Source organism: Homo sapiens, chromosome 20 (assembly GCF_000001405.40).
Source record: "Homo sapiens chromosome 20, GRCh38.p14 Primary Assembly".
Classification (NCBI taxonomy): domain Eukaryota; kingdom Metazoa; phylum Chordata; class Mammalia; order Primates; family Hominidae; genus Homo; species Homo sapiens.
Genome location: NC_000020.11, coordinates 43,941,950 through 43,969,415, shown reverse-complemented (window position 1 = coordinate 43,969,415; position 27,466 = coordinate 43,941,950). Strand labels below are relative to the sequence as shown.

General features: G+C 48.9%; 1 protein-coding gene across 12 annotated transcripts in view, besides 10 other annotated features; it reads right to left on the bottom strand.

The window, feature by feature from the left end:
• Positions 1–27,466, bottom strand: part of TOX2 (TOX high mobility group box family member 2) — a 154,765-nt gene that overhangs the window by 100,201 nt on the left and 27,098 nt on the right. For 3 of the 12 annotated variants that reach the window (XM_047440560.1, XM_017028109.2, XM_047440562.1), the window contains exon 1: positions 23,652–23,733. The exons of 4 other annotated variants lie outside the window; for them this stretch is intronic. Coding sequence is in view for 3 of the 8 variants with exons in the window: in XM_006723884.1 (XP_006723947.1) it covers positions 23,378–23,503 (126 nt within the window). In the remaining 5 variants the exon portion in view is untranslated. Of the gene's footprint in view, positions 1–14,143; positions 14,269–23,377; positions 23,521–23,651; positions 23,734–27,466 lie in introns of those variants that run through there. 5 more of the 12 variants (XM_006723884.1, NM_001098798.2, XM_047440564.1 and 2 more) reach the window with 2 other exon arrangements.
• Positions 5,113–5,192: an enhancer, noted in NCBI's record as "active region_17920". NCBI's record gives its function as "activates an Ori minimal core promoter by ATAC-STARR-seq in GM12878 lymphoblastoid cells {active_cell/tissue: GM12878}" and the evidence as "EXISTENCE:reporter gene assay evidence [ECO:0000049][PMID:35858748]".
• Positions 9,853–10,147: an enhancer, noted in NCBI's record as "tiled region #6747; HepG2 Activating DNase unmatched - State 4:PromP". NCBI's record gives its function as "activates a minimal TATA promoter and a strong SV40 promoter by Sharpr-MPRA in HepG2 cells {active_cell/tissue: HepG2}" and the evidence as "EXISTENCE:reporter gene assay evidence [ECO:0000049][PMID:27701403]".
• Positions 9,853–10,147: a silencer, noted in NCBI's record as "tiled region #6747; K562 Repressive DNase unmatched - State 8:EnhW". NCBI's record gives its function as "represses a minimal TATA promoter and a strong SV40 promoter by Sharpr-MPRA in K562 cells {active_cell/tissue: K562}" and the evidence as "EXISTENCE:reporter gene assay evidence [ECO:0000049][PMID:27701403]".
• Positions 12,810–13,444: an enhancer, noted in NCBI's record as "H3K27ac hESC enhancer chr20:42584612-42585246 (GRCh37/hg19 assembly coordinates)". NCBI's record gives its function as "activates a minimal SCP1, AML or CMV promoter by ChIP-STARR-seq in primed H9 embryonic stem cells {active_cell/tissue: H9 hESC(primed)}" and the evidence as "EXISTENCE:reporter gene assay evidence [ECO:0000049][PMID:30033119]".
• Positions 13,578–14,777: an enhancer, noted in NCBI's record as "P300/CBP strongly-dependent group 1 enhancer chr20:42583279-42584478 (GRCh37/hg19 assembly coordinates)". NCBI's record gives its function as "activates an origin of replication core promoter dependent on BRD2, BRD4, P300/CBP, MED14 and CDK7 cofactors, with strong dependence on P300/CBP, by STARR-seq in HCT116 cells {active_cell/tissue: HCT116}" and the evidence as "EXISTENCE:reporter gene assay evidence [ECO:0000049][PMID:35650434]".
• Positions 13,917–13,966: an enhancer, noted in NCBI's record as "active region_17919". NCBI's record gives its function as "activates an Ori minimal core promoter by ATAC-STARR-seq in GM12878 lymphoblastoid cells {active_cell/tissue: GM12878}" and the evidence as "EXISTENCE:reporter gene assay evidence [ECO:0000049][PMID:35858748]".
• Positions 18,752–18,841: an enhancer, noted in NCBI's record as "active region_17918". NCBI's record gives its function as "activates an Ori minimal core promoter by ATAC-STARR-seq in GM12878 lymphoblastoid cells {active_cell/tissue: GM12878}" and the evidence as "EXISTENCE:reporter gene assay evidence [ECO:0000049][PMID:35858748]".
• Positions 26,241–26,570: an enhancer, noted in NCBI's record as "active region_17917". NCBI's record gives its function as "activates an Ori minimal core promoter by ATAC-STARR-seq in GM12878 lymphoblastoid cells {active_cell/tissue: GM12878}" and the evidence as "EXISTENCE:reporter gene assay evidence [ECO:0000049][PMID:35858748]".
• Positions 26,241–26,792: a biological region, named in NCBI's record as "H3K27ac hESC enhancer GRCh37_chr20:42571264-42571764".
• Positions 26,292–26,792: an enhancer, noted in NCBI's record as "H3K27ac hESC enhancer chr20:42571264-42571764 (GRCh37/hg19 assembly coordinates)". NCBI's record gives its function as "activates a minimal SCP1, AML or CMV promoter by ChIP-STARR-seq in primed H9 embryonic stem cells {active_cell/tissue: H9 hESC(primed)}" and the evidence as "EXISTENCE:reporter gene assay evidence [ECO:0000049][PMID:30033119]".

Sequence of the window (27,466 nt, the reverse complement as noted above, 5' to 3'; positions counted from 1 at the left end):
GGGCTACTTCCTCCTCCACATGTGCACAGACAAGATCAAAAACACCCACATCTACACCCACCGCAGTGCATACACTGTGTGAACACAAAGGTATATGATGTACACCGTGTGCACAGCATGGGCAGCACACACACACACCACAAACCCATGTTTGTGTGGACCCAGGTCATGCAGCACAGCGTTCAACACGGCAGCGTTCAGCTCACTCATGTATCATGTCCATGGGTAACACCAACCAACGCACACACAGCACAGGCATGAGTGTGCACATGTCAGAGACCTTTATACAACTGGGCACACAATAACCACAGCACGCACACAAGGAAAGCAGGGTGTGCCCATATGTGTACAAACATTCCATGCATCTGCAGCCATTTAAATGTAACTCACACAAATGTGAACACAAACATATACTGAATGTGCATACAGAGACATACAAAGCAAAGATGCACATGAACTTCAATTCTATGCATATTTCACAGTTTATCAGTTCCTTGGTCAAAAATCTTTTTTTCATACCACACAGCCTTCCCTATGCTTTAAAATGTGAGAAAAAAATGCAGGGAGAAACAACAGCTTAAGAATTTCCATGAACGCCAGGAGAACATCCTCTTACCAGTGACTGGAATAGATTAATTTTCCCCATTTCATATTCTAATTATAATTCCTTTTCCCATTGCCATCTTCAGTCCTCATTACAGCTGGAAGATTGTTCTGCAAAAGCCAGGCCTTCATCTTCTCTTCCCAAGAGTTTTGTCATGGAAATGAGTTTTGGAATCTGAAAGAACCCACATTTTTGCAAATATCGAATGTGTAGGGATAACCCTTTCATGACGGCCACCGGGGACACAGCTTACAGGGGCTTCTAAGGCATCTGTCTCTCCCCTACCTCTCCTTTCCCTGTGTGGTCCCCTCAGGGAAAAGAGCTCCTCGGCCCCTATTCCAACAGCCAGCCCCCAACCTAAGCACACCATGCTTCCCCAAAGGATTTTTTAAGGAAACTTAGCAAATAGGCAGCCAAGGTGAGGAGCCCTGATCTTAGACAGTCAGATCCCAGGTCCATCTGTGCCACCTTGGGCAAATTGCTTAACTGCTTTAAGCCTCAGTTTTCTCATTCTTATGACCACAGAGTCACTGATTCATGACAGGTATAAATAAAATATTTGTGGGGTAAACAGATGTGATAAGTGGGTAGATGAATGGATGGAAAGGAGGAAGGAGTAAAGGATGGGATGGATGGATGGGCAGATGGGTGGACGAATGGATGGGTGGATAGATGATTGATAGATGGGTGATGGATAGACGGATGATCGGCAGATGACGGACGGGTGAATGAATAGATGGGTGAGGGATTGTACACATTAGCACTGTCCAACAGAAATATAATAAAAGTTACAAATGTGACCCACATATGTAATTTTACATTTTCTAGTAGCCACAGTTTTTTTTATGGGGTACATGAGATGTTCCAACACAGGCATGCAAAGTGTAATAATCACATCATGGAGAATGGGTTTCCATCCCCTCAAGCATTTATCCCTTGTGTTGCAGACAATCCAATTATACTCTTTTCATTATTTTTAAATGTAGTAGCCACTGTTTAAAAATATTAACAGATAAATAAAATATATCATCAAAATTAAGTTTAACTCAACATATTCATAACATGATTTCAACATGTAATCAATATAAAATGATTATTAATGAATGGTTTATTAATGAGATGGGTGGATGGACAAATAGATGGGTGGTTGGGATGTATGGATGGGATGGCTGGGATGAGAGGGAGGAGTGGATGAATGGATAGGTGAAAAGGGATGGCTGCATGAGTGTGAACAGACAAGTGTATGGGAAGAGTATTGGGATGGTGGACGAGATGAACATGGATGGGTGAGATGGGTGTTGGGGATGCGTGGATAGATGCCTGGACGTGTGGGTTCCCGGGTGGGTAAAATGGGTTGAGTGGTTGGGTGGAATGGATAGGCGCATAGCAATGTGGGTCTGGCATTTCCTTCTCACTCGATTCACACTTTCTCTGGAAAATGTCATGGCTACTCACGGTTGCAACATCACCAATTCTCAAATCCTCATCTTTAGCCAAATTACCTCCAGATTCTAATATATAGTTTTCTCCCTATCTCCCCCATTTGCCCATGAGCACCTCAAATTCAACACCTCCAGCACTGAACTCATAACATGTACATGGACTTGCTGTTTCTCCAGCACTCCCCTGTCTTAACAGAAACTGTCACCTTCCACACAGTCCCACAGTCAGTACCCCTGGGGTGACTCTGGTCTCCCTGCCATCTACATCCCTCTGATCCAATCACCTGCAACATCCTTCTGCTGAGCTTCCCTAAGAGTATGCTGAGTGTGAACACAAAGGTATACAGTGCATGTGGTATGCACAGCGTAGGGGCACACACAGGCACCACAAACCCATGTTGGTGTTGGTGGGTCCGTGTCACACAATCCATCGTACACCTTGGCTATCACTAGCGATATTTGGGCAATCGCTTCACTCCTCAGATCCAAACCCTGCAGAGACTCCACATCACTTAGCCTATATCCAGGACCCTCCAGGGCAGCCCCAAGTCTCAGTTCCCGTGGGTCCTCAGCATAGTGGGAGCCTCCAGTGCCCCCACTTTTTTTTTTTTTTTTTGAGACAGAGTTTTGCTCTGTCGCCCAGGCTGGAGTGAAATGGCATGATCTCAGTTCACTGCAACCTCCACCTCCCAGGTTCAAGTGATTCTGCTGCCTCAGCCTCCTGAGTAGCTGGGATTACAGGCATGCACCACCAAGCCTGGCTAAATTTGTATTTTTAGAGACGGGGTTTCACCACGTTGACCAGGCTGATCTCGAACTCCTGCTCTCAAGTGACCTGCCTGCCTCGGCCTCCCAAAGTGCTGGGATTACAGGCATGAGCCACCACACCCAGCAAGTGCCCCCACTCTTACACATCGTCCCACCATGAGCCTGGAACACTCTCCCTTTCTCTATCCACCGAAATCTACCTCTTCCTAGGCCCTTCTTTATTTCTGGCTACAAACTCCAACCTTAACACTGTCTTGCTTGCTTTTATAAACCCATATTCTTGGACCTAACCAAAAGCTTCCATCTAAAATCAGCTTTGGACTTAATTCAACTCCTATGTGCAGTGTAACATACTGGGTAACAGCATTGATCTGACGACTGGTTCCACTACTTACGAGCTCAGTGACTTTAACTTCACTTTGCCTTCCTTTCCTCACCTATAAAACAACAATTATGACAGCTACATTCCTACCTCATAAGGTTCTTGGTATCTGTTATCAGACATCAGCTATGAGTTAGCATTATTAAGCATTATGTTACAGATATTAACTATTTTTGACAGGTGCTTAATAAATGTTACCTATTATCATTGTTATGATATATCAACTCCTATCCCCTTATCAGCCCCCATCTCCCTCAGTCTAGCAGATGACATTGTCTCCTCTGTCACTGAGGAATTGAAGCCATCAGATATTCCCTCAATTCTCCCAACCTCCCCTACGTTATTTACATCATGCTCATCTTGACTTCCTTTCCTTTAGTCTGAAAAGGTATCTCTCTCCTGTTCAAGGTCAGCCTCTTCACCTTGACCCTGTCCCTCCCATGTCTTCTACCCATTTGCTCCCACTCTTGGTCCTGGGTCTAAGATCTCATTCAAATGTGCTGAGGCGAAATGAGACCAGGCAGTGCCTTTGTTGTATCGTGTACCAGGCACATATCTCGTGCTGAGGAATATGCTCCCAGCCACTGGGGAATCTACAAGTGAATTTTGCCACTGCCCCTTGGGAAATCTATGCAAATAGATCATCACAAAGGCACTGAAAAGAGAGAAAAGCAAAGGGACTTGGAGGCAACAATCACTGTTCATTGAACGATCTCTTGTGCGTGCTTACTATGTGACAGGGAGTGTGCTAGGTGCCAGGCATGCCAGAATGATGATGACACGGCCCCTGCCTTCAAGGAACCCCCAGTCCTTTGGAGAAGATGACAGCTATGGAGGGAGAATAAAACCTTCCTATTCTCCAAATCTACAAAGGAAAAGATGTTCTTTGACCACAGTCCCAAGCTGCAAACAATGAATCCCCAAACCAGCTTAAAGCTCATCCTCATTTGTCACTGGGAGCTTTACAGCCCCACCTCTGAAAGTCAGTCAATCAATAGTCTTACTCCCAATAGCCACATGTCCACCACGGAGACAGCCAGCCAGTCTCAGAACCTCCTGCTCTGAAAGTCCTCCTATCCCAGGACCCCATGCTTCCCCAAACCCTGAAAAGATCAGCCTCTTGCTTGATTTGGGGAGACTACCCTTGCGAAGTATACCAATGAATTCAGCTTCTTGCTTTCGATATTGAATGATGCCTTCTTCTTTGACACATGTGACAAAGGCCAGGATAAGGTTAGCCAAGGGGAGCAGAAGCAAGGCAGAGGGTCTTTCCAGAGAAGCATCCTGAAAAAGTGACTTGGAGGCTCCATGATGTAGGAAGCAAAGGAGGTGACTAGGCAAGGAGCAGGGAATATGACATCCAAGGCTGCTGTGAGCACTGGCCAAAGAGCACCTACTGTATACCAGCCCTTATCCCAGAGCTGTGACCAGCCATCTCACTGGAACCCCCTAGAAATCCCAAGGCTTCCATGAGCAGCAGCCCCACTGTCAAGATGAGCAAGGTAAGGCTCAGAGTGGTTGGGAACTTGTCCAAAGCCACCCAGGAAGTCTGAACTTGGCCTTGATCCCAGGTACCAAAGCAGCAGCTGTTCTGTAGAAGCTGTTGCTCCTCCCCTCTGCACAGAGACACAGATCAAAGCCTAGGGATGCACAGCCCTCAGCCTAGCCAGTCACAGGCACTGAGAGCTGAGCCTCACCAAGATCTAAAGAGGAAACAATCAAAGCAGCACACACTGCTCCCGCCTGCCCCACATTGGGCGGTGAGAACGCTCATTCTGCACAGATAAAACACAGCTCTAAAGAGAGAGACAGCTGCAACCTAGGTCCTGCCGAGAGTGCGGTTTTATGTGGAAGTCTCATGGGGAAATACACATCAGGGCCAGGAAGATGCCGGGGGAGGGGTGCAGGCAGAGAGCCCGGCACAGATGGAAGAGGAACAGGAATAGAGCACGGCCTGGGAAGCCTCAGTCTCAGCCTGACCCGGGCCCTGTACACCAACTCCAGGTCCATCACCACTTGGAGAAACATGATGGCACAGTGGATACAAACACAGGCCCTGGTCTGGCTGCCAGGGTTCAAATCCTGGGCTTGTTGCTTTCAAGCTGTTGGTTTTTTTTTTTTTTAAACTACATTACTGTGTCTCAGTTTTCTCATCTGCAAAATGGGTATGACTATCATTTGGATTAAATAAATATACGGAAAGTGCTTAGAACATTGCCTACCTAGAGAAGGCACTCAATCATTGTTAGCTATTTCTTATTTTATTATTGAATCCTCCTAAGAATCCTGCCAGTTGCTATAACTACCTCTCTTCTGTAGATGAAGAAACTGAGTGGGGCTTTGTGCAAATCTCTGAGGTCTTAATCATGGAAAAGACCCTCGATGCCTGTGCCCACTGTATGTAATTTGAAATAAAATTTGCAAATTAAAGTCTTTATAAGAAAGTCCAACTGCCAGGGCCGATTTTTCCCAACAACGATGATTTTCATGCTTTGTTCCTAAAATATCAGATATTAACAATTCTTCAAAAATGTTTTTCTCCTGATTGGTGTGCCTGCTTTGCTGGGCACAACGCACATTCGTATTCTGCCTGGTGATAAATCCTCCCCATCACAGAGGCCCGGAAAGTTTAGGGGATCTGCCTAAGGCCACACAGCCAAGACCTGCCTGAGCTGAGTCTGAAGTCCAGGCTGCTGACTCCTAAGAGTACATCCTGGCTTCCCACCCCCACTGCCTCCAAGCCACGTGAACCAGAGAAGGTGACCTCATGACTATAGGCCTGGGACCTTAACTATCAGAAGCAAGGACAACGCCTTGGGCACTGCCTGCCGCAGGAGCTGGGAATGTCCCTTGTAAGCAAGCTCAGTGCTGTGGGCCCCTTCAGGACCCTTGTCCCCACCCCCAACAAGAGTTGGCTTGGATGGTGCCACCTATTTCAGTCAATAAAAGGCATCGAGGGGTAGTGTAAAAATGGCAGTGGTCACTATAGCACCACAGGTGAGGGCTGCCAGGTACCTGGGCTCCTCTGGGAGGTGGGAATCATTGCCCCCTCCCACCTACCTCGCTCTAACTGTGCTCTTTCTAGACCTCTACCATCTAGAATGGTGGCCGCTTACCACACGTGGCTTCTGAGCACTTGAATTGTGCCTAGTCCAAACTGAGATGTGGGTAAGTATAAAGTCCACACTGAATCTCAAAGACTTCAGAGCAAGAATGATGACGATGACAACAAAAAGGAATGCAAAATACCTTGTCAATATTTGTATATTGATGATGTATTGGAATAATATTAATATTTGGGATATACTGGGTTAACTAAAGTATTACAATTAATGTCACCTGTTTCTTTTCACTTTTTCTGAACATGGCTATTAGAAAACTTAAAATCATGTATGTGGCCTGCATTGTATTTCTACTGGATGGTGCTGGTCTAGACACTGCCCTAGTCATTATCTGCTCCTGACCCAGAACCCCAGAGACGGAAGAGCTGACATCATCAGCAGTAGCCGAATCCATTTCTCTGTGATAGATATGGGAGAAATGGGGTTTGCAGAGGGAGAGTGACCTGTTGAAGGCAAGAGTCTGGTAACGAGGCATTCATTCATCCAACAAATGTTAACTGAGGCCTTAACTATGTACGCTCTGGGTACTGGGAAACAGCAGAGAACAAAGTAGAGGGCCACATCCCAGTCTAGGGCTCTGCCCTGAAGCCAGTTTGCAGGCTGGGGGTGAACGTGGTGATGACGCAGGAATCTCGCCCCAGCCATGGGATCCTGGGGACCTGGGCAGCTGGACTCAGCACCAGCCCCTCAGCCCCTCACAGTTGGCTGGATCGCAGATCTCATAAGCTGCAGGCAGGAACTCCAGCTCCAACCTAGGGCAGCTCTGCCCCCAGGACCACCAGTGAGTCCCATCCCAGTACACTCACCAGCTGCAGCTGCCCAGAGGGCCGGGCCTGATGGGCAGGGCAGCCCCCTAACATAGATAGCATGGAGGCCTGGCAGGCCTGTATTTCTTCCTTCCCTGGTACTGCCACTGGTAGCTCACACACCGTCTGCATTACTGCAGATTTATGGCAAAAATTATCCTCTCTCTCAGCTCCATTTAAAGCCATTTGGAGCTCTCTCCCATCCCCGATTGTAAATCTAATTGCACATTCCAAACAGACAAGCGCTCATTAAGCTTTAATTATGCACATGTTGTTTTCAACAAACATTTTCATTTGGCGCTGTGAGGGGGAATGGTTCAAAGAGGGCTGCAGACGCTGCCTGGGGCTGGAGGGAGCTGGGCTGGGAAGTGGGTCAAGGTGTAATGAGATGAGGCCATCCAAGGGGCAGGGCCAGGACCTCATCTGATTGGGCTCGCGACTTTGAGGCCTTTCTCTGGGCTTCTGCTGTGGGGGATGCCAATGTACGTGCTCTCGGCTGGTCTCACCCACCGGCACTCCCCACGTCCCCAGAGTCTCATCGAAGCCAGGCCCATGGACCTCTCCAGTGACAGGAGGGAAGGTAGGGACCCACAGTCTGGCTCAGAAGGATAAAACCCCCAACCAAAAGCCAGTTTCATCAGAGCCTGTGGGCTCGTCCCTGCTCCCACCCACCCGCCACAGTGCAGCTGGAGGCCTCCTCTTCAGCACCATCTTCCCTTCCCTCATTCGTTCACTCATTTATTCCACAACCATTGACTGAGCATCAGTTGGCTCAGGCAGTGCAGGGTCAGTGGGGACCATGATGGGTAAGGCCTCTGCGTGGCTCTCCCCAAGTCACTCTCCATCAAGTCCCATCCCCTCCACTGGGGAAAAGTTTTAATTCTTGGCCACAACATTCACTTGAGCATCTGCCGCCTGCCAGCCCAACAGTCCAGGCTGCCTCCCACCCATCACGCGCCCATCCCCTCTTCTGCCTTTCCAAGCCCCCTGCCCAGATCACACTCTCCCCCACACCTCATCCAGACCTCTGCAGCAGCTGTGTCTCCACCTGAAACTCCCTGCTTTCTCTCTTCCACACCGTTCATGCCCATTCAACTCCTGTGCTGTCCTCCTTCCAGAAGCCATTGCTGATAGCCACTCTTGGGCTGGCCTGGCCACCCCTCTGCCATGGGGGCACCCCGTAAAACATGTATTGGACCCTAGCGCCATAATATCACAACAGCCACATGTCTGGCTCCTAAGACCAGCCTGCTCACTATATCCCAAGACACCATCACCTTCAAAGATGGAAAAGACAGGCACCACTCACTGTGTGTCCTTGAAAAAGGCCTCCCCCTTTCTAGGCCTCAGTTTCCTCATTCATACCTGGAAGGGTTGAATGGGTGATGCCCTCTGAGCCCCTGGGCCGTTCCATCAGTCTTAAGTTTTATGGTCTGCCCAGGAGCTAGGCCACATTCTTCCCACCAGGAGTCATGGAGGTGACCAAGGCATGCTGACAGTGCCCGAAAGGTGCACACACAGGGTAGGAGACAGGAGTGGTAGAGAACCCAAGGCCACTCCTCAAAAAGCTTCCAAAAATACAAGCAAGTGAAATCAGCATGTGCTTTAAAATGGAAATCAGATTCCATTCAGCGTCTGGATAGCTACCTGTTGTTTCAGGTACCAAACAGACTCTGAGTGTGAAATCTACAGACAAGAAATGTACTGGGAAGTGCTATAGGGAAGTGGGGGAGCAGGACAGGCCAGAGGGACAAGCCAAACTGTGATGTAGTCACAACGGAGGCCTCCACCTGTCCCAAGGGGAGCTCTGGAACTGGGATGGCCCAGCAGAGGTGTCCCAGTTTGAGGCAGGGAGCTAAGCATTCTGTATCCCCACATGGGATGGCCATCGGATCCAGGATGCCCAGGGGGTGAGTGTTGATGACCTTGGCCAAGGCTTCCTCTTTCCACCAAAGGCACCATGGAGCTGCCCAGAGAGAGGCTCAGCTGATAGGGGCAGCAGCCAACACTCTAAGCAGCTGACAGAATGTGTGCCTGGATCTGAGGAGGGACTAGGGTGACACGCAAGAGCATCCACTAATGGCTATGATCATTTACTCATTAGAACGAATGCATGCAATGTTTACATCACACTAACAACAAGCCAGGCACTCTTAATTGAATGACAAACATCCGTTCCTATAATCCTCACGACAACCTCACAAGGTAAGTTACTGAGGCTCCCATTTTACAGAAAAGGAGACTGAGGTCGAGGGAGGTTATGTAGCTTGCCCAAGGCCACACAGCTAGGAAGGGGTGGAATGAAGATTCAAACCCAGGAAGTTCAACTCCAGAGCCTACACTCTAATGAGAAGGCTGTACTCCTGCCAGGTCTTGCCCCGTTACCTCCCATAACATGGAGCTGGCCAGCTCCCAGCTCTCCCTAGAGGCTGGGATGCAGTCAGCAGTCTAGAGCCTCAGGTTGCCCTGCGCTGCCAATATTTGTATTTGACAATTATCTATCATCCAAGCAGTTGGGAACAAGTCCCAAAACTGATTCTTACCAAAGGCAATTAACTAAAAGCCGCATGAGCGTACGTCGGGTTGCACTGTGGTGTGGGGGGAACGAGTGTGACTGAGACAATGAGCAGATGATGTGGAAGATATTTTCTCCCCAGCACTACAAAACAAGCCCTCAATCATGCCACAAAAGGCTCGTGTTGTCGGAAGGGAAATATGTCAACGACAGCGTTCGATCTTGGAGCGGTTCAAAAAGAAGAAGAAAAGAAATCTTTGAAATTGTAATTTGACCTAGAAAGGTTTTTCTAGGTCATCTGAACTTGGCACTTATGCCTCTAACCCCAAACCTAACACAGACAAAGTGCCAGGTTCACTTCCTTCTGTCAGTACCAGATAACACAGGAAATGGTATTTGTAAACACTGCTGATATATTTTTAAGCGCTGTCTCAACGTCGGCCTTTGGACTGGGAGCTGCGAGAACACTGGTGCAGCACAGCTCTGGAAGCAGGCAGATCTAGGTTCAAGTCCAGGCTCTGCACTAAGCTGCTGCATGGCAGTGGGCAGGGATCTTACCCCTCTCGTCCTCAGATTCCTCCCCTGGAGAACAGGAATGGAACAGGCAGGGTTTTGCATGCTACCTAGCAGTATGCAGAGAAAGGCCAGCTCCCCGCTTTCACCCCAGTTGCCTTCCCAGGCAGAGAGCCACCCCTCTGTTCTTGACTATTGAACCCTTCTGACCCAGATCTGGGCTGTCTCCTGGAGACCCAGGAGGGCAGTGGGGGGCTCTGTCCTAAGAGGCCTTTTCTCTCCCAGAAAACAGAAAACTGCACTCCAAGGCATGGCATGTGCCAATGAGTTATTCTAATTCATCTTCACTGTGGACCCACTAAGATAAATAATGAGGCCTCAGGGCTGGGAGGGCTTTAATCCTCTGGCTTCTGCAAATCCCACTGGGGAAACCAAGGCCAGGGCTGATGGATGGCCCACCGTTATTGGCAAGAGCATGTCCAGGGTTACAACCACCAAATTGTTGAGTCCTGTAAGCCTGCACCTCCAGAAGAAGCCAGATTTAGCCCAGTTACTGTCAAAAGCCCAAGGGCACGGTGAACATTCCTGTCTTCCCCAAGCCCTGACCTCAGCACCTACAATGTACCTGGCCATATGCCAGGTGCAGAGGGGCACTAGGGACCTAGAACCAATTCCCAGGGAAGCTCAGGTCCATAGGGAAAATGGGTATCTGCATAATGGCACCTGGAGGGGGGTGATAAAGCACTAAGGTGGAGATAGGCCAGGTGAGAGCAGTTGGTACATACCTGTGAGGTAGTGGGTCCAGAGTGAGCAAAGGCTGGGCAGCCAGGTTGGGGGAAAACCGGTATGTGTGCTGGGGAAGGGGAAGAAGGGGTGTCTAGAAGTCACTGAGGTAGGCTACAGTACAGAATGTGAGAGAGAAAATCAACATCCACTAAAGAAAACAGGTGCGTGTTTAAAGCAATATTCTTAAAGAAAGAGTAATGGAAGGATGCCCAATCTGGCCAGAGAGTGAAACATTCCGTGAAGCCACAATTAAAGCAGTGTGGCAGTAACAGAAAACAAGAATTCTAAAATCAATGAAACAGAAGGAAAAGTACAATGTTGGACCCAACTAGGTATGGAAACGTATCAAGATTAAGGAGGGCATTTCAGAGGGAAGACCACGTAAAGACACAAGGGGAAGCTGTCCACCTGCAAGCCTAGGAGAGAGGCTGATATGATTTAGCTCTATGTCCCCACCCAAGTCTCATGTCGAATTGTAATGCCCAATTTTGGAGGAGGGACATGGTGAGGTAATTGGATCTTGGGGGCGGATATCCCCCTTGCTGTTCTCGTGATAGTGAGTTCTCATGAGATCTGGTTGTTTGAAAGTGTGTAACGCTTCCCCACTTGCTCTGTCTCTCCTGCTGGCCATGTGAAGTGTACCTGCCACCCTTTCACCTTCTGCCACGGTTGTAAGTTTTCTGAGACCTCCCCAGAAGCAGAAGCTTGTACAGCTCACAGAATCGTGAGCCAAATAAACCTCTTCATAAATTACCCAGTCTCAGGTATGTCTTTATAGAAGTGTAAGAACAAACTAATACAGAGGCCTCAGATGGAATCAACCCTGCCAACACCTTGATCTCATACTTCTGACCTCTAGCCCTGTGAGAAAATAAATATTTGTTTAAGCCAAAAAAAAAAAAAAAAAAAAGAGGGCATTTACTTTATGCCAGGTAACATGTGATGTGCTTTGCACATGATCTTCTGCTCAATCTTGACAACGGTCCTAGGAGGAAGATATCATCCAGTTTTACAGAGGAAAAAACAAGCCCAATTTAAGCAACGTGCTCATAGCTCACACAGAAAGTGGCAAAGCCAAAATCTTAATTCTGCTAAAGCTCACGCTTATAACAGCTACTATATTTTGTCTCCCCTTTTGCAAACAAAGAGACAAGGGCTAATTATATAATAAACAGAATGGGGACAAGAGGGTTATCCTGTCCCTATTTAGGAACAGTGAACTAGATACCCACTGCAAGACACCAACCAAAATGCATGCACTCCGAATGGATTAAAGAGTTAAACATAAAAAGTCATGTTACAGGGAAACAATCAGAAAACAGAACAGAATGTTTATCAGATCTGTGGAGCAGGATAACTTCTTCAGCCCTCGAAGCAATCACAGAGGAAGAGAGATTGACAGATTCAAATATATATGCATTAATATCTTCTGTGGAAGAAAACATAATAAAACCAAAATGAAAAGGACATCAGACTAAGAAAATATCAGCACCAACTATAAGACAGTTAATATATACAAGGTAGAAATGGCTCAGTCACATTAAACAGAAAGCAAGATGCCAACAGACAAAAAGACATGGGATTCAAACAAAAGTCACACAAGAGGCGATATCTTAAGAAACAAATATGGAAGGGAAAAAAGGGACACCTGATTCAATGGCAAGTGGGGAAATGCACATAAAATAAACTTACTGCAATGCAACTGGGATATTTCACACCACTGCGGACATGGGAAACGGGTTCCAGCCTAATGGAAGACAATATGGTGGCCACTCTTAGGCAGACACAGCTAGCCAGAGGCAGGGGACGAGCACTCAAGGGCTTAAAACAGTCTTGCTTAAAACAGCCTTTTACTCTGAGTGCTGGGGATGGTAAAGTGATATACAGAAAACAGTCTTTTTTTTTTTTTTTTTTTTTTAAAGATAGAACCTTACTCTCACCCAGGCTGGAGTGCAGTGGCATGATCTCAGCTCACTGCAACCTCGGCCTCCTGGGTTCAAGCGATTCTCCTGCCTCAGCCTCCTGAGTAGCTGGAATTACAGGCATGCGCCACCATGCCCAACTAATTTTTGTATCTTTAGTAGAGATGGGGTTTCATCATGTTGGCCAGGCTGGTCTCGAACTCCTGACCTCAGGTGATCCACCCACCTCAGCCTCCCAAAGTGCTAGGACTGATTACAGGCCTGAGCCACTGCACCTGGTGGACACACAGTCTTTGTCCCGGAGCTCATGGTCTAGGGAAGGGGACAGGACCAGGAATCAGAATATGGGTGGGTGATAAGTAGATGGGAAGCCAGGTTCGTGGGGCCTAGACAAGGGCCTTGTAAAAAGACTTCACGGAAGAGGTGGCTTCTAAGCAGATCTACCCGCAGCATGCACACAACTAGCCAGGCGAGGGCAGAGGCCAGTGGGAACAGCATTTGCCAAAGCCTGGGAGCTGGAGGGAAGGGCCCATTCATGGAATAGTAAGGCGGTGCAAGATAAGACAGAAAGGCAAGCAGGGCCTTATCACAAGGGAGCTTCAAGGGCCACACTGGGGAGATGAGACTGAAACCCGGAATGTGGGCTGCACTTCAGAAACTGGCCTCTGGCTTCTGGGTGGAGAATGGGTTGTAGATGCTAACTAAGATGGGGAAACGGGAGTCTGAGCAGGGCTTGGGCAGGGAAGAAACACTGGCTAACACAATAATAAGTAAAACAGCGTGGCAGTGATTCAAAACTAGAAATTTATACTGATGGCTAGAATGAGAAGCAGGTTTGGAGCCAGAATAAAACCATGACAGCCCCAGCATGTTATGCAGAATACGGCCTTGAGAGTCTCAGAGATGAGTGAAAAGTGCCAAGGGCAAGGGATCACCCAGGAGTCAGAAAGGGGGTGACTCATGCAATTTGCAAACCCTAATTTCCTCTCCTTGGTCACACACTTCCTTCTGATTTCTTTCTTCTGATGATTCATTAAAAAAAAATTCTCCTTTTAAATTCACATCAGAAATGTCTGAGTACCTCGGCTCACCCTGCCCTAAGCTTTAACCCCTGCCCCTGAACCAGCAAAACCCAACATAACCCCAGGTGGCTAAGAAGACACTGGCTGCCAAGAAACCAGAAGCCAGCCAAGGGGAAACAACGGGTTTCAGGCTCTGCGATGGCTGCCAGAGGCCCCCATGGGCCCTCCTGTGACCCAGGAGGGTTTTCAGCAGCTACTCACATGCACAGATCCACAGCTCTCAGCCAGAACTCGTGCAGTTTCAGAATTTGTTTGAATTTCAGAAAAGTAATGAAGTGCAAATTCTGCAAATTATGCCATAGCTTCAGTGGAGCCTCAGGCAACACCTGCAATGGAACACATTCATATTTCTGCAGTGGAACATATGAATATTCACACAAGTGGGGTGAGTAAAGATTACAAAGAGCCTCGCGTCAGCTCAGGTCAGATTTTGGGGGCCAAATGAGTTTGCAGCATATTGACAAAACAACTTCTCGTCGCAGGGCTTTTTGGATTGTAGATAAGGCAGTTTCAAGCGAATCAAGCACCAGGAGTCACGTGCTAGAAGGCTGTCCCTCTGTATGCCCATTTTACATAGGAAGAAACTGAGGCTTGGAAAGTTAAAGGGAATTGTGCAAGGTCTCATAGCTATTAAGTGGCTGAGCTGGGATCCAAACCCAGGTCTGACGTCTCTCCCCACACCCTCGTGGATCCTCCCAGAGGCTGAAATGGCAGGCAGAGCATTTAATGTGACAGAGAATGTAGACAGCACAGGGAGTGGGTCAAGGCCAGGTGCAATAGGAATGGGGCTGCCCAGGTGCCCAGAGAAATCACTGGCACTCCTCCTCAGCTGGCCCCTGCCTGGTGTCTGTCCTCCAAGGCAGGTCCAGGAGCCTCCAGCCACCCTCAAAGGTCCAGAGCTCCCTCTGCACACAGGACCCATCCTTCATCTTTCCGCAGAGGTTTGTTCGCTGAGTGCCCCCTTCATACCAGCTCCTGGGGGCTGGGACACAACGAGAAGCAAGGTAGACACAGTCCCAGCCCCTGCAGGCCTCAGAGTCCACTGCAGGAGGCAGGCAACAAACAAGCAAACACACAAAGGTGGTCACACGTTGCATTGTGCTAAGTGCTGTGCAGCAAACACAGGAAGTGTGGAGACAGGGTCTCTCTGTAGAGGCAGCAATTAAACTGAGGGAGCCCAGAAGAGAGAGAAGGAGGCTGTCAGGCAACAAGTAGTGGGTGGGAGCATTTAAGGCAGAGGGAGCAGCAATGCAAAGTCCCTGAGGTCCACAAGTAGAAGCTCTCGCATGCAGGGGGAATAACAGGCAGGACACAGTAGGCAGAGGGGCGAGGCAAGGACGTGATTTGGGGTCCTAGGGCCACCATAAGGCACTTGGATTTCATCCCAGATGGGAAGCCCTTGGAGAGTTCTTGCAGGGGAGTAACATGCTTTAATTTATAGTTTAAAAGATGACTCAGCTAGCCACGTGGAGGATGGATTCCATGAGGTTCCATTCTTTGAGTCTCAGCTTTCTCCTCTATAAAATGGATGCATGAGAAATCCTGTGAAAAGCATAGCTCAGGAGTGTCTGGCATAGAGTTGACTTCCAGAAGATGGGAGGACAAAGACAGTCTTCTAACCTAGTCGCAAACCAGGAGAACCCAGTCATCAGTCATCCATAGTCGCCCCCCTGCTCAAAATCCTACTAGGCTCCTCTCTGTCCTCAAAACAAAGATCCACCTCTTTCTCTTGGTCCTAAGGTCCTGCTTGACCTGGTCCCTGCTGATTTCTCCAGCCCCATCCTTCACCCTCCCACCATCTTCCACAGGGCCTCTACTCTCCCGCCAACTGAGCCACTCCTGGGGCATGCCAGGGCCCTTTCCCCAGAGACAAGTCCTTTACACTGACCTTGCCACCAGCCTGCCCTGCATTCCTACAGACGTGGACACACACCAACCCGGATCAGCCCAAGCAATGAGAGGCTCAAAGAGTGGCTGAGAGTGTGGGCATACATGTTGGAGCATGCGGGTTGGGAGTGGAAGGACTATGTTAAGAGACACCTCTGCCTGTGCATGAACGTGATGACAGACAGGTACAAGGGGCGCCACAACAGACAGGAGGAAGGGGTCAGTTCTGTCTGAGCAGACAGAGGCGGCTTCTATGCACTGGGTCTCAAATGATTTTCTGACTGAAGGTGATATATTAGTTTCCTAGGGCTGTTGTCACAAATCACCATAAACAGGTGACTTAAAACAACATATTCTCTTACAGTTCTGGAAAGCCCGAAGTCTAAAATCAGCCTCACTGGGCTAAAACCAAGGTGTCATCAGGGCTGGCTGGTCTGTAGGCTCTAGGAGAAAATCCATTTCCTTGCCTTTCCCTGTGTCTAGTGGCTGCTTGTGTTCCTTAGCTTGTGGTCCCTTCCTCCATCTTCATAGCCGTCACCCCAGTCTCTGCTTCCATCCTCACATCACCTTCTCCTGATTCTGCAACCCCTCCTCACTTATAAGGACCACTGTGATCCTATAGGGCCCACCCAGACAACCCATGATACTCTCCCCATCCCAAGACCCTTAATCACATCTGCAGAGCCCCTTTTGCCATTTAAAGTAACATACACAGGTTTCAAAGATTAGGACCTAGCTATACTTAGGGGTCATTATTCAGCCACCCACAGTGAGTCCCGTAAGTACCGACTAACTGTGTCTCAGTCTGCCTATATGTCTGGAGAGGGCAGAGAGGGAAGTACCTGCTGTGGTAGACTTTACTACTGCTCTCCAATATCTGGCTCTCCTCTCCTTCCTGGCACATAGGACACTACACCTCAGGCTCCCCTTACCATTTATTGGAGCTATGCGTCTAGTTTAGACCAATGGGTTATGAGCAGAAACAACGTGGGTCTCCTCTGGGTAGAAGTATAAAAAAGCAAACTTGAGATCTGCAGGCTTTCTCTAGAGGACCAGCAAGGTTCCAGATGGTCGAGACTTGACCAACCTACAGCCCTGAGTGATCTGTGGAGCAGAGCCCAACCCCTACTTCTCTGCTGATTGTCATGGAACACATAGTAAGAGCAAAAATAAGCCTTCCTTATGATAAGCAACTGAGATTCAGGGGGTTGTTACGGCAGCATAACCCTAACATGCTCAGTTAAGTTTAGGCCAGGGGCAGTGGCTCACACCTGTAATTCCAGAGCTTTGGGGGGCCAGGGCGAGAAGATAGCTGAGACTAGGAGTTTGACACCAGCCTGAGCAACATAGCAAGGCCCCGTCTCTTAGAAAAAAAAATTACTTTTCTGCTGGGCGCAGTGGCTCACGCCTGTAATTCCAGCACTTTGGGAGGCCAAGGCGGGCAGATCACGAGGTCAGGAGATCGAGACCATCCTGGCTAACATGGTGAAACCCCATCTCTACTAAAAATTTTAAAAAAAAAATCAGCCGGGTGTGGTGGCACATGCCTGTAGTTCCAGCTACTCGGGAGGGCGAGACAGGAGAATCACTTGAACCCAGGAGGTGGAGGTTGCAGTGAGCCAAGATCGCACCACTGCACTCCAGCTTGGGCGACAGAGCGAGACTCGGCCTCAAAAAAACAAACAAACAAACAAACAAAAAATTATTTTTAATTAGCCAGGCATGGTGGTATGTACCTGTAGTCCTAATCAGGAGGCTAAGATGGGAGGAGTGCTTGAGCCCAGGAGTTTGATGCTACAGTGAGCTATTATCATGCCACTGCACTAGAGCCTGGTTGACAGAGCAAGACCCTTTCTCTAAAAAAAAAAAAAAAAAAAAACATAATAAGTTTAATAGTAATGGTCATTTGCTGATCATCTACCATGAGTCAGGCACTTTATCTATATTGCATGTAACCCTCATAATCACCACCCAAGCAAGGTCAGAATTCACTACTTTTGTTTTGTTTTGAGGTGGAGTTTCATTCTTGTTGCCCAGGCTGGATTGCAATGGCACGATCTCAGCTCACTGCAACCTCCGCCTCCTGGGTTCGAGTGATTCTCCTGCCTCAGCCTCCCGAGTAGCTGGGATTACAGGTGTGCGCCACCATACCCGGCTAATTTTTTTGTATTTTTAGTAGATACGGGGTTTCACCATGTTAGCCAGGCTGGTCTTGAACTCCGGTACTCAAGTGATCCACCCGCCTCAGCCTCCCAAAGTGCTGGGATTACAAGCGTGAGCCACCACACCGGCCTATCTACTCTATTTTAAAGGTAGAAAACTCAAATACAGAGAGGTAGACGTGAAGGCTATCTACCTAGGAAGTGGTGGAGCTGGGATTCAAACCCACAGCAATGTGGTTCCAAAGCCAAACTCTTAACTACTGCAAGGGTCCCTCCTGAAAGGGACCACAGGCTTCCAGACCCTTCTCTGGCCCCAGACAGCTATCGCCCTGAAGGTCAGCAGGGGCTTCTGGCCAATGCAGGTCAATCATGGGGCCAGAATCCTTAATGACTACGTGAGCCCATCCCTGGGGCCTGGAGCCCAGAAACAAACCCCCCTCACCCCAAAATCTAGCCTGAACCTCTTCTGATTGCTGGGCTGGTTCTTACTCATGTACTCATGCGTCCGTGCACCAAAAAAGTATTTGCTGTGCATCTACTTTGTGCCAGGCACTATTCTGGGATCCTGGGAGACAGCAGTGAACAAAGACCCCTGGAGTTTACGCTCTTGCATTGGAGATAGAAAACAATACACATAGTCAATAAGTGACTTACATGGTATATGGAAAGAAGAAAGAGTTGAGCAGGTGAGGGGTATTGGGAATGTCGAGATGGAGGGTATGCACGTTTAAACAGAGCAGTCAAGGTGGGCCTCATTGAGGAAGTGATAGTGGAGCCAAGACTGGAAGGAGGTGAGGGAGTGAGCCAAGTAGATGTGTTGGGGAGAGCATTCCAGGGCCTGACAGCCTGTGTACAGGCCCTAAGATGGGAGCTGCCGGCAGGTGTGACCTCGGTCAGCAAAGAGACCAGCAAAGACAGGCAGAGCAAGCAGTGGGGAGGGGGAGGGGAGGCCAGAGAGGCAACTGGGGATGGAGTGTGCCCCACAGATGGCACTGAGATTACCCCTCCCCAGAAAGAGGAAGCCAGCACTTTTTCCACCGGCCTTATCTGATGCTGTGGTTGGGGAGCCAGCGAGGGCAGGCGAGAGGGCTGCAGAGCTCAGCACATCCGAGGAACCTCAGCAGGGCCTCAGAGCCGCTGACATCCGCTTGGCCTGCGGCTTCTTCCTGTGGCTTCTGCATCTCAGGTTGCCCCGATGGCTGCTATTTTTGCTCCTGTTTGGGGTTCTGTGGTGGGCTCGTCTATGCATTGTTGAGTTTGCTCTGCTCAGAGCAGATGTGAGGGGTTAAACATTCCAAGTGTCTTTGGGAACACTTACAATCCAGCAAGTGGGAAAGAGGAGGATGTTTGTTATACATGTCATCTCGTCAATCCTCGTGACCCTCCAAAGCAGAGAGGCTAGGTGGCTTGTCCAAGGTCACAGCCAAATCAAACCAGTTTGAGGATCCTATTCCAGTCTGTCTAGGTCTGAAGGCCCTTAATTTGCAGGGAGGTCTTTTGCATCTACTGCCTAAATTAACATTTCTGTGCTGTCTGGCCTTGCAGCACGTGTGAGAATAAAGGTGCATCATCGTGGGTGATGTCCTCCCAGAGCATCACAGCACTGATGGGGAGGACAATGACAGAAGCGGGCACAGGGAAGGGGACCCTGGCTCTGATAGTTGCGGCTAGACGGTGGGGGCAATCAGAGAAGGCTTCTGGAAAGCCGTGGATGTCGTGACCACACCTGCGAGAATAAACAGGAGTCCAAGGGGTAAAAGAACCATTCCAGACAAAGGGGTCTGAAAGTAAAATTAAGAGGCACAATAGCTTGGTCAGTGGGGAAGCGGATTTAGGAGGTGGCAGGACAGTGATTCTGCAGGAGGCAGAAGCTAGCTTGTGGACTGCAAAAAGTGAGATCAGACAGGTGCCCAGCTCCCCCAGGTGGGTATATTAAAGGTATCAGAACAGATCCAGCTGATTACAAAAGACAACCAACCACAGGCTTTAAGCAGGGAGGGATGTGCGCATCAGGTGGTTCTCAGAGATCCCACTGGCTGCTGCGAGAAGAACAGACTAAGGAGGAAGGGTGGAGGCAGGGAGGCCTGGGAGGAGGCTCCTGCGGTCATCCCGGTGACAAGTAATAGTGAAGCGGGGAGAAGTCATTGCACCCTGAAGGTACAGCCAGCAGCAAGTGCAGTTGGATTAGATGCAAGGAGTAAGGCAGAGAAAGGGGTCAAAGATGATCCCACATTTGTGGCCTAAGCCGAGGGGTGGACAGTCATATATAAAAAGTGGGCACAAAGTAGAAGGGGCATTTTGAGGTGACGGAGGGTGTGAATCAGGAAAAGGGCCATTGAGAGTAACTGTTTCCTTCTAGATGAGCCCCTGGGGTGAGGACATGCAAATCAAAGCTGCCTTTCTACACCAATCCCCCCATGACTAGGGGGCTGCTGCTCCCATGGCCTCAATTGCTCTTCACAGCAAGGAAGACCCAGGGAGGTTAAGTGAGCTGCCTCAAGCCTCACAACTAGAAGTCAAGAGACCAAAGGCTAAAAATCCAGGTCCACCCAATTGCTACTCCAGGCTCATCTCAACACCCAACAGCAGGAGGTTCCCGAGGCCCTCCCTGGAAAATGGCTCCCCAGGCCCAGGAGAAGCTGGAGAATTCACTCCCCATCTCCCCATCTATATTTCATGCCTCCCTTTGCAACTGTCCAGATGTGTGAACATCTGCCAGGCCCCCTGGCTAGACGGAGATGGCAGCTCCTGGGCAGCCCTGGGCCTCCCAGTGGGCGACACAGAGGCTGCCCCAGCAGGCCCGGGGCCTCCCAGTGGGTGGCACAGAGGCTGCCCCAGCAGACCCCCAGCTGCCTCCACTGGAAACCTCACCTCCCTGCCCCTGCTCCCAATTTCATTAATTACCGGTTTGTTCATGCACAAGGCAGCAGGGGAGAGTCATCAGGGATGCCGCCGGCCGAGGAAAGGAAATTAATTTCAAACATGAAGCTCATCCTGCTCTGGAGGCTCCCACATACCCGATTTCCAACACAGTGGAAGAGCAGGGGTTGAAGCCATCAGCCTGGACTCTTCTTCTGAGGGAATCAAAGGTCCAAAGGGGATGAAGAACTGGCCCAAGATCACACAGCAATTACTAATGGCAGGAAAAGCCCTGCAACTCAGGCCTCCCACTTCTGCACACCTTCATTCTTCCCATAAATATTCAGCAGGTGCCTGCCGTGTTTGGGCCCCTGTGTGCCAACAGACACCCTGGTTTCAGGCAAAAGCTCTCCAGGGCCTCTTCCCTCCCCAGGAGAACACGTTATTTACTGAGCACCAACAATGTGCTTTACATATTTTATCCCACTTAGTCCTCCTAACAATGTCATTTTATAGGCAAGGAAGCTCTGGCTGAGAGAGGTTGCTGTGCTGAGGTCACACAGCAAGTAAGGAACAGAGCCATGACTTAAAACAAGGTCTTAAACCTGGCTCAGCTTCTGTTCTCCAGGCAGGGAGCATGTGTGAGGGTGCAATTCTCAGCCACTCTCTCCCTTCCAAGACTCCTTTCCTTCCAGCACCTTCCTTCCCAGCCAGGGGCTCTCAGCAAACAGGTCGTCAGGTAGCAATCTGAATGCTGGCTTACTGGCTGGCTGTTTTCCCAGGGCCCCACCAACACAGTGCTGATGAGTGGTATTCAGTAAGTTGTTCAGGAAGTGTTAACACTAAAAGGATCGGTTGGTTCTCTTTCAAAATGGCCAGTCAGTCCTTGCCATGAACTCCTCTCCCAGTCAAGAACCCATGGAAGTGACCAGAAACACAAAGAATTCCTATTAGCCAGGGCTGTGAAACAGACATGGCCCTCCCTTCAAGCTCCCCAAACAGATTCCAGAGCCTCTGACTCTTAAGCACAAGAAGAGAGCTCCCTGGATCACACACGCAGATGCACACAAACACATGCCGTTGTGAGCCACGCCCTCCTCATGAGCTGAGCCGACATCCTAGGTCATTTGTTCATTCATTCATGCCTCATTAATGAGGTCCTTCCACACACCAGGCAAAGTGTTACACAGTGAGTGTGTGCACACGTGCATGTGTGCATACATATACACATGAACACACGTAAATGCTTATACACACACACCATCATGACAACACAAGAAAGTAGGCATCAGTGTCCCCATTTTATGGATGAAGAGACAGAAAGCTCAAGGAACTTGCCCTATGTCACAGATTGTATTTATGGCCGAGCTGAGATATGTAAGCAGTGCCTAACCCAGACCCCAGTATACAGTAGGTGCTCAATAGCTACATTCTGTGTCCAGCTGGCTCCTCAGGCTTCCCTTGCAGACCTGGGCCCACTGCCTCCTGCAGGCTTTCAGACCCAGAGTGGAGAAGGTAGAAACCATCCCAGGAGGCACAGAAGCTGGTGTTTCCTGGTCTCTCCCAGTTCACCCAGGATGTTCCAAATGACGGAAAGCGGACCTGAGCGGGAGCCTTCTTTTGCTGGGACACACATGCACGAAGCCAGATTTCAACAATGGCTGTGATAAATCAGAGCACGAGAAGAGGTCGGGTCTCCTGGTCTGCTGGGTGCAGCACCATCAACAGCAACAAGCCCCGCCCCCAACCCAGTCAACTCCCATCACCAAGATAGCCTCCCAGGCACAGCTGGGATGGCCCCTTCACGTTAGGTTTCTGCATTTGAAATCTCTGCCACCTATTAAGGGCATGTGTGTCCCCTTAAGTCCCCTTAGTTCCTTTCTCATTTGTTGCTGTCCTTTCTTCTACGAAAGTATGCTGCGTAGAGATCCCAACTGGTTATTTTTTAATGTCCTTACTTCACAAACGGAAAAGGTGGCATTCACCAAATTTGGCAAGAAATTTTTATTGATTCCCCAAACTCCAAAATCTAGTGGAAGAGGCAGCTCGGGTATTCCTGGTGACGTCCTCAGCTGCTTCTCACCCGTCTTGCCTTCTTGGAAGGCCCCTGTCACTCTTCAGCCCAGGTATCTTCTGGGCTCCTCCCAAGCCATGGGCCATCCCCATTACTGCTCCCATTGTTTCCAGTCTGAATCAGCCAGACCCCCCAACCCACACCTGGCCAGGCCTACTGCAGGGTGTGCTGAATGAATGAATGAATGAATGAATGATCCTGAGCAGCCTGGGCACCAAGGCCACAGCCTGACCCTGCTCTCCAGAGGACAGCCCAAACCGCCTCCAGAATTCCTCTCCAAGAAGGAGCTGCCAACTGCAGGCCTCCTGGCCCCTCTAAAGCATCTTCATTCCAGAATGTGACAAGCACCAGTCCAGGTCCCTGCCTGCCCCCATCCAGACATCACCTATCTTCAGCCCACAGTGACGGCCTGACCACCTCCACCTCATGGGGCGGTGGGCACCCGCTGCTTACCTTCTGCGGAAACACACCTGCAATGCACCAGTGTCTTGCAAGTAGAAGGAGCCCGAGTCTCATTCCACAGAAGCCCAGGCAGCGAGAGAACGCGCCCGCGACAGCCTCTGTGCGAGTCTGCTGCATAATCAGCAGAGAAAGAGGAAAAAATGCCAGAAATAGCAAGCTTTATAAGCCCTCCTGACAACTCTTGGTCCTCTATTGGCTGGAGGCCCAGCACCCCCACCCCCCATCCCATTCGTATAAGGTGAAATGGAAAAACCTGTTATTTAACCTCTTTTATCAAAATCCATCTCCTATTCCAATTTGGGCCTGCGTGTTCGGAGCTCCTGGTGGCGGTCTCCACGCCAGGTCTCGGGGAGCAGAAGGGGAGGCAGCCCCTAAGTACAGCGCGGCTCCACGTCATTTGTGGCTTAAGAGCCTTCCCCACTCACACACGCTGCCTTGGGAGGGGTGTTGCACTGGAAGAGCCTTCGGAAGGCAAATTGGCAGCACCTGTCAACGTGTGAAACTTGCATGCCCTTTCATTCAGCAATTAGACTTCTGAGCATCCATCCTGCAGAAATACCTGTACTCAGTGCATGGATGCATGCCCAAGGATGTTGCTTGTTACAGAGAGAATTAGAGACAGCTAAATGTCGAAAGCCAGGGTCTGGTTGAATACACTGAAATACATCTGATGGAATGAGGAAGGTGTGTAGGTACTGACTTGGAACTGCCTGCAAGAAAAAGTCAAGGACATGGTTCCATTTTTATAAAAACAATAACGGTGTATATGTATGTGTTTGAACATGCACTATAAAAGATACCAGGCTGTTAATAGCAGTTACACTAGGGAGGAGGAGATATTTTCAGTGGCTGCTTTTTTCTTTCTTGTTTCATTTTTTTTTTCTTTACCACAAGCGTGTATTACATTTGTAATTTAAAACAAAAAAATAAGAACCTCCCCTGGTTCCTTTCCACTCTTCTGAAGCCATCAGGCCAAAGGCCAAGGTCACCCACCACAAGCCTTGATCGGGCTTGGGATAAAGCTGGCCCCGGGCACTAAGGATTAACCAGCAGTCTCTCATTAGCTTTCGCACAAATGCAGTTAAACTAGGGCTCCATGAAGAAGGCAGACTTTGAAATAAGACAGAGCTGGGTTCGAATCCTAGCTCTGCCTGCTGGAATGGCTAACTTCCCTGAGCCTCAGTTTCTTCACCTGTAAAATGGGGATAATAGTACCTATTAAGTGTCATGTACTATGCCAGGTGCTATTAAACTAATTTTAATTTTTTGGACATTTCAGTAGCAGCAAAGGCTGCTGAGGAAGCACCACAGAGCTGAGAGGATCCAGACTAAGCAGGAAGCGCTCTGGGGAATCATCCTATTCCTGAACACTTGTAACAATACTAAAGTAAGTGACAGAGAGAACGGCCTGGGAATAGCAAATGTCATGTGATAAAGGGGGCTGGTGCCCAGCGTGTCTGCAGGAGGAGGGAGAGGCTGGAAGGGGGATTACAAAAGGCTCCAGAAAGGAAAAAAGTCTTGCTTCCCTGCCTCTGTACCTTTTTCATGCTGTTCCCTCTGCCTGGAATGCTCTTCCCCTGACCTTCACACAACTGACTGCTTCTCATCCTTCCAGCTCTGCTCAAAGATCTCCTTCTTCCCCAAAGAGAGCTCCTCTAATCTCACCTGCACCTGAGTTACTTTGTCCATAGCACACTCCTGCAGCCAATCGTTTCTGTTCATGTGTTTGATGGCTTTTGTTTCTGTGTTTATTGTTCTTCTCTAGGCTCTGAGCTTCTTGATGGTCAGGATCGTCTGTCTTGCTCATCTCTGGGTCCTGGCTCCCAGCATGGGGCCTGACACACAGTGCGTGCTCACCAGATAGAAAGTGCACACAACCCATAGATCCAAGGCACATGACACTCGTCTCAAGGCAAAAGAGAGGTGCATTTTGCACCGCGATACAAAGATGGATGAAAATTTCAGACATACCAAAGATTTAGAAACACACACACACACACAAAGCTGTAAGCATGCAAGAGGAAATTGTCCATGAATATTTATATAAGCTTAGGATGATAAAGAACTTTCTAGGCTCAAATTCGTGTGGACAAGGATATTTATTGCATCATTATTTATAAGAAGATGAAAATGACAATAAAGTCCATCGATAGAGGATTGGATAAATCATGGCTCTCCATAGAATGGAATACTATGCGGCCTTGAAAATGATGGGCATTTGTTGATGTTGCAAGAAGCCATGTTGCTTGTTGAATGTTAAACTTGTTCATCAGAAACAAGAGATAAGTGAAAGGTATAATTGATTGTCAGAGAGAAAACACAAAGGTAAAAATCTTTCAAGTCTCATTTATTTATTCATTCACTGAAAAAACTTTTTTTTTGTTGTTCCCTCTGCCTCCTCCCTACTTCACATAGGTCATAATTCCAGAAGCTGGAGCAATGTGTGATCAGGACACTGCCCCTGTCCTCACAGGAAGCCCAGCTTACACACAGAGGTGAGTATAAGGAAGACAGTACTCACCGGTAAGGGTCTCAGGGTGGTCACCTGGGCGAGGGCCTCATGAAAAAGGTGTCAGTCAAGCCGAGATTTGGAGAAGGGGCAGAGTTTGAGTACACAGATAAGGAATGAGGCATTTTAAAAGGCAGAAGCTGGGTGATACCAGACAAGCACAGAAAGCCCCTGCATTCTTCATCAAACTCTTACTGAACCCCACCATCTGTAGGAGAGGGAGTTTATAGGAGCTAGGCCAAGGCCCAGATTCTGGACTGAATTCTGCCAAATGTACTGGGAGGAGGCATTTGGGGTTGTGATCGTACCATCCACAGGTGTACAGGTGAGAAAGCATCCTCCCAACCCTGACTCGTGCACCCCGAGAGCACCAGCTCCACAGAGAAGGCAGGGCTGCGGCAGGTGCACCTGCCTGGCAGGTTGGATGACTGAGGCTTAGCAAGGCAAATCCAAGGCTGTGAGACCGGATTCCAGGTGCAGTGCTCTTGCCGTTGCAATAAATATTCAGGTGGAGGTATTTAATGTGGGTTGGAGGGGGTCCCATCGCTGTGGCCCCTCTGCTCAGCTCCTTCTGGTGTGGAGACAAGAAGGGCCTCTGCACCATGAAGAAACTCAGCATTTTTTTAGTTCTTTTTTAATTTTTCAGATTCTGAGGCAACGTGATGGTTACGGTTCAAAACAAAGAGAGATGACTCAGCTTCCTGTGGAGAAGCTGCAGCCTTTTGCAAATGATCTTTCAGTTTTAATGCTTCTCTCTTCTTATCCATGGAGGCAGCTTGTCCAAGCTGCTTGTTTTCTTTTTTCTTTTCTTTTTTCTCTTATTTATTTATTTATTGAGACAGGGTCTCCCTCTATTGCCCAGGCTGCAGTGCAGTGGCATGAGCATAACTTACTGCAGCCTTGAATTCCTGGGCTCGAGAGATCCTCCTGCTTCAGCCTCCCAAGTAGCTGGGACTACAGGCATGTGCCACCACACCCTGCTAATTTTTGTGTTTTTTCTTTTTTTGTAAAAATAGGGTCTCACTATGTTGCCTAGGCTGGTCTCTAACTCCTGTCCTAAAGCAATCCTCCCGTCTTGGCCTCCCAAAGTGCTGGGATGACAGGCATGAGCTATGATGTTACTTGTTTCCTTGTTGTTCAGCTGTTCCCAGGGTGAGGGGCAGGGACAATGGCCAGGCTCTGTGGCCAGAATGCCTGGGTTTGAATCCTGGCTGTACCCTTAGATCTTGGCCAAACTTAGATCCTCTCTGAGCCTCTGTTTACTAATGTTAAGATGGGAATAATAGTTCCCTCCTGGTGGGGTTTTTGTCAAAGCAGCTGTCATCGATGGAAAGTGCCTGGTCTGGTCCATAAATATCACTGTTAATAGCCAACAGCCACCATGCTGAGGTTCTACTGTGCTTTGATGATCTCATTTAATCCTCACACTTGCACAAAACAAGTTCCCCTTTTACAGATGAGGAAGTTGAGGCTCACAGCAAGGAGTCAACTTCCATCTTCTTATTGATGAGGGTCAGTGCACACAGCCCAGGCAAACTCACAATTGAATCATTATAAGCTTTGTCCTTTGA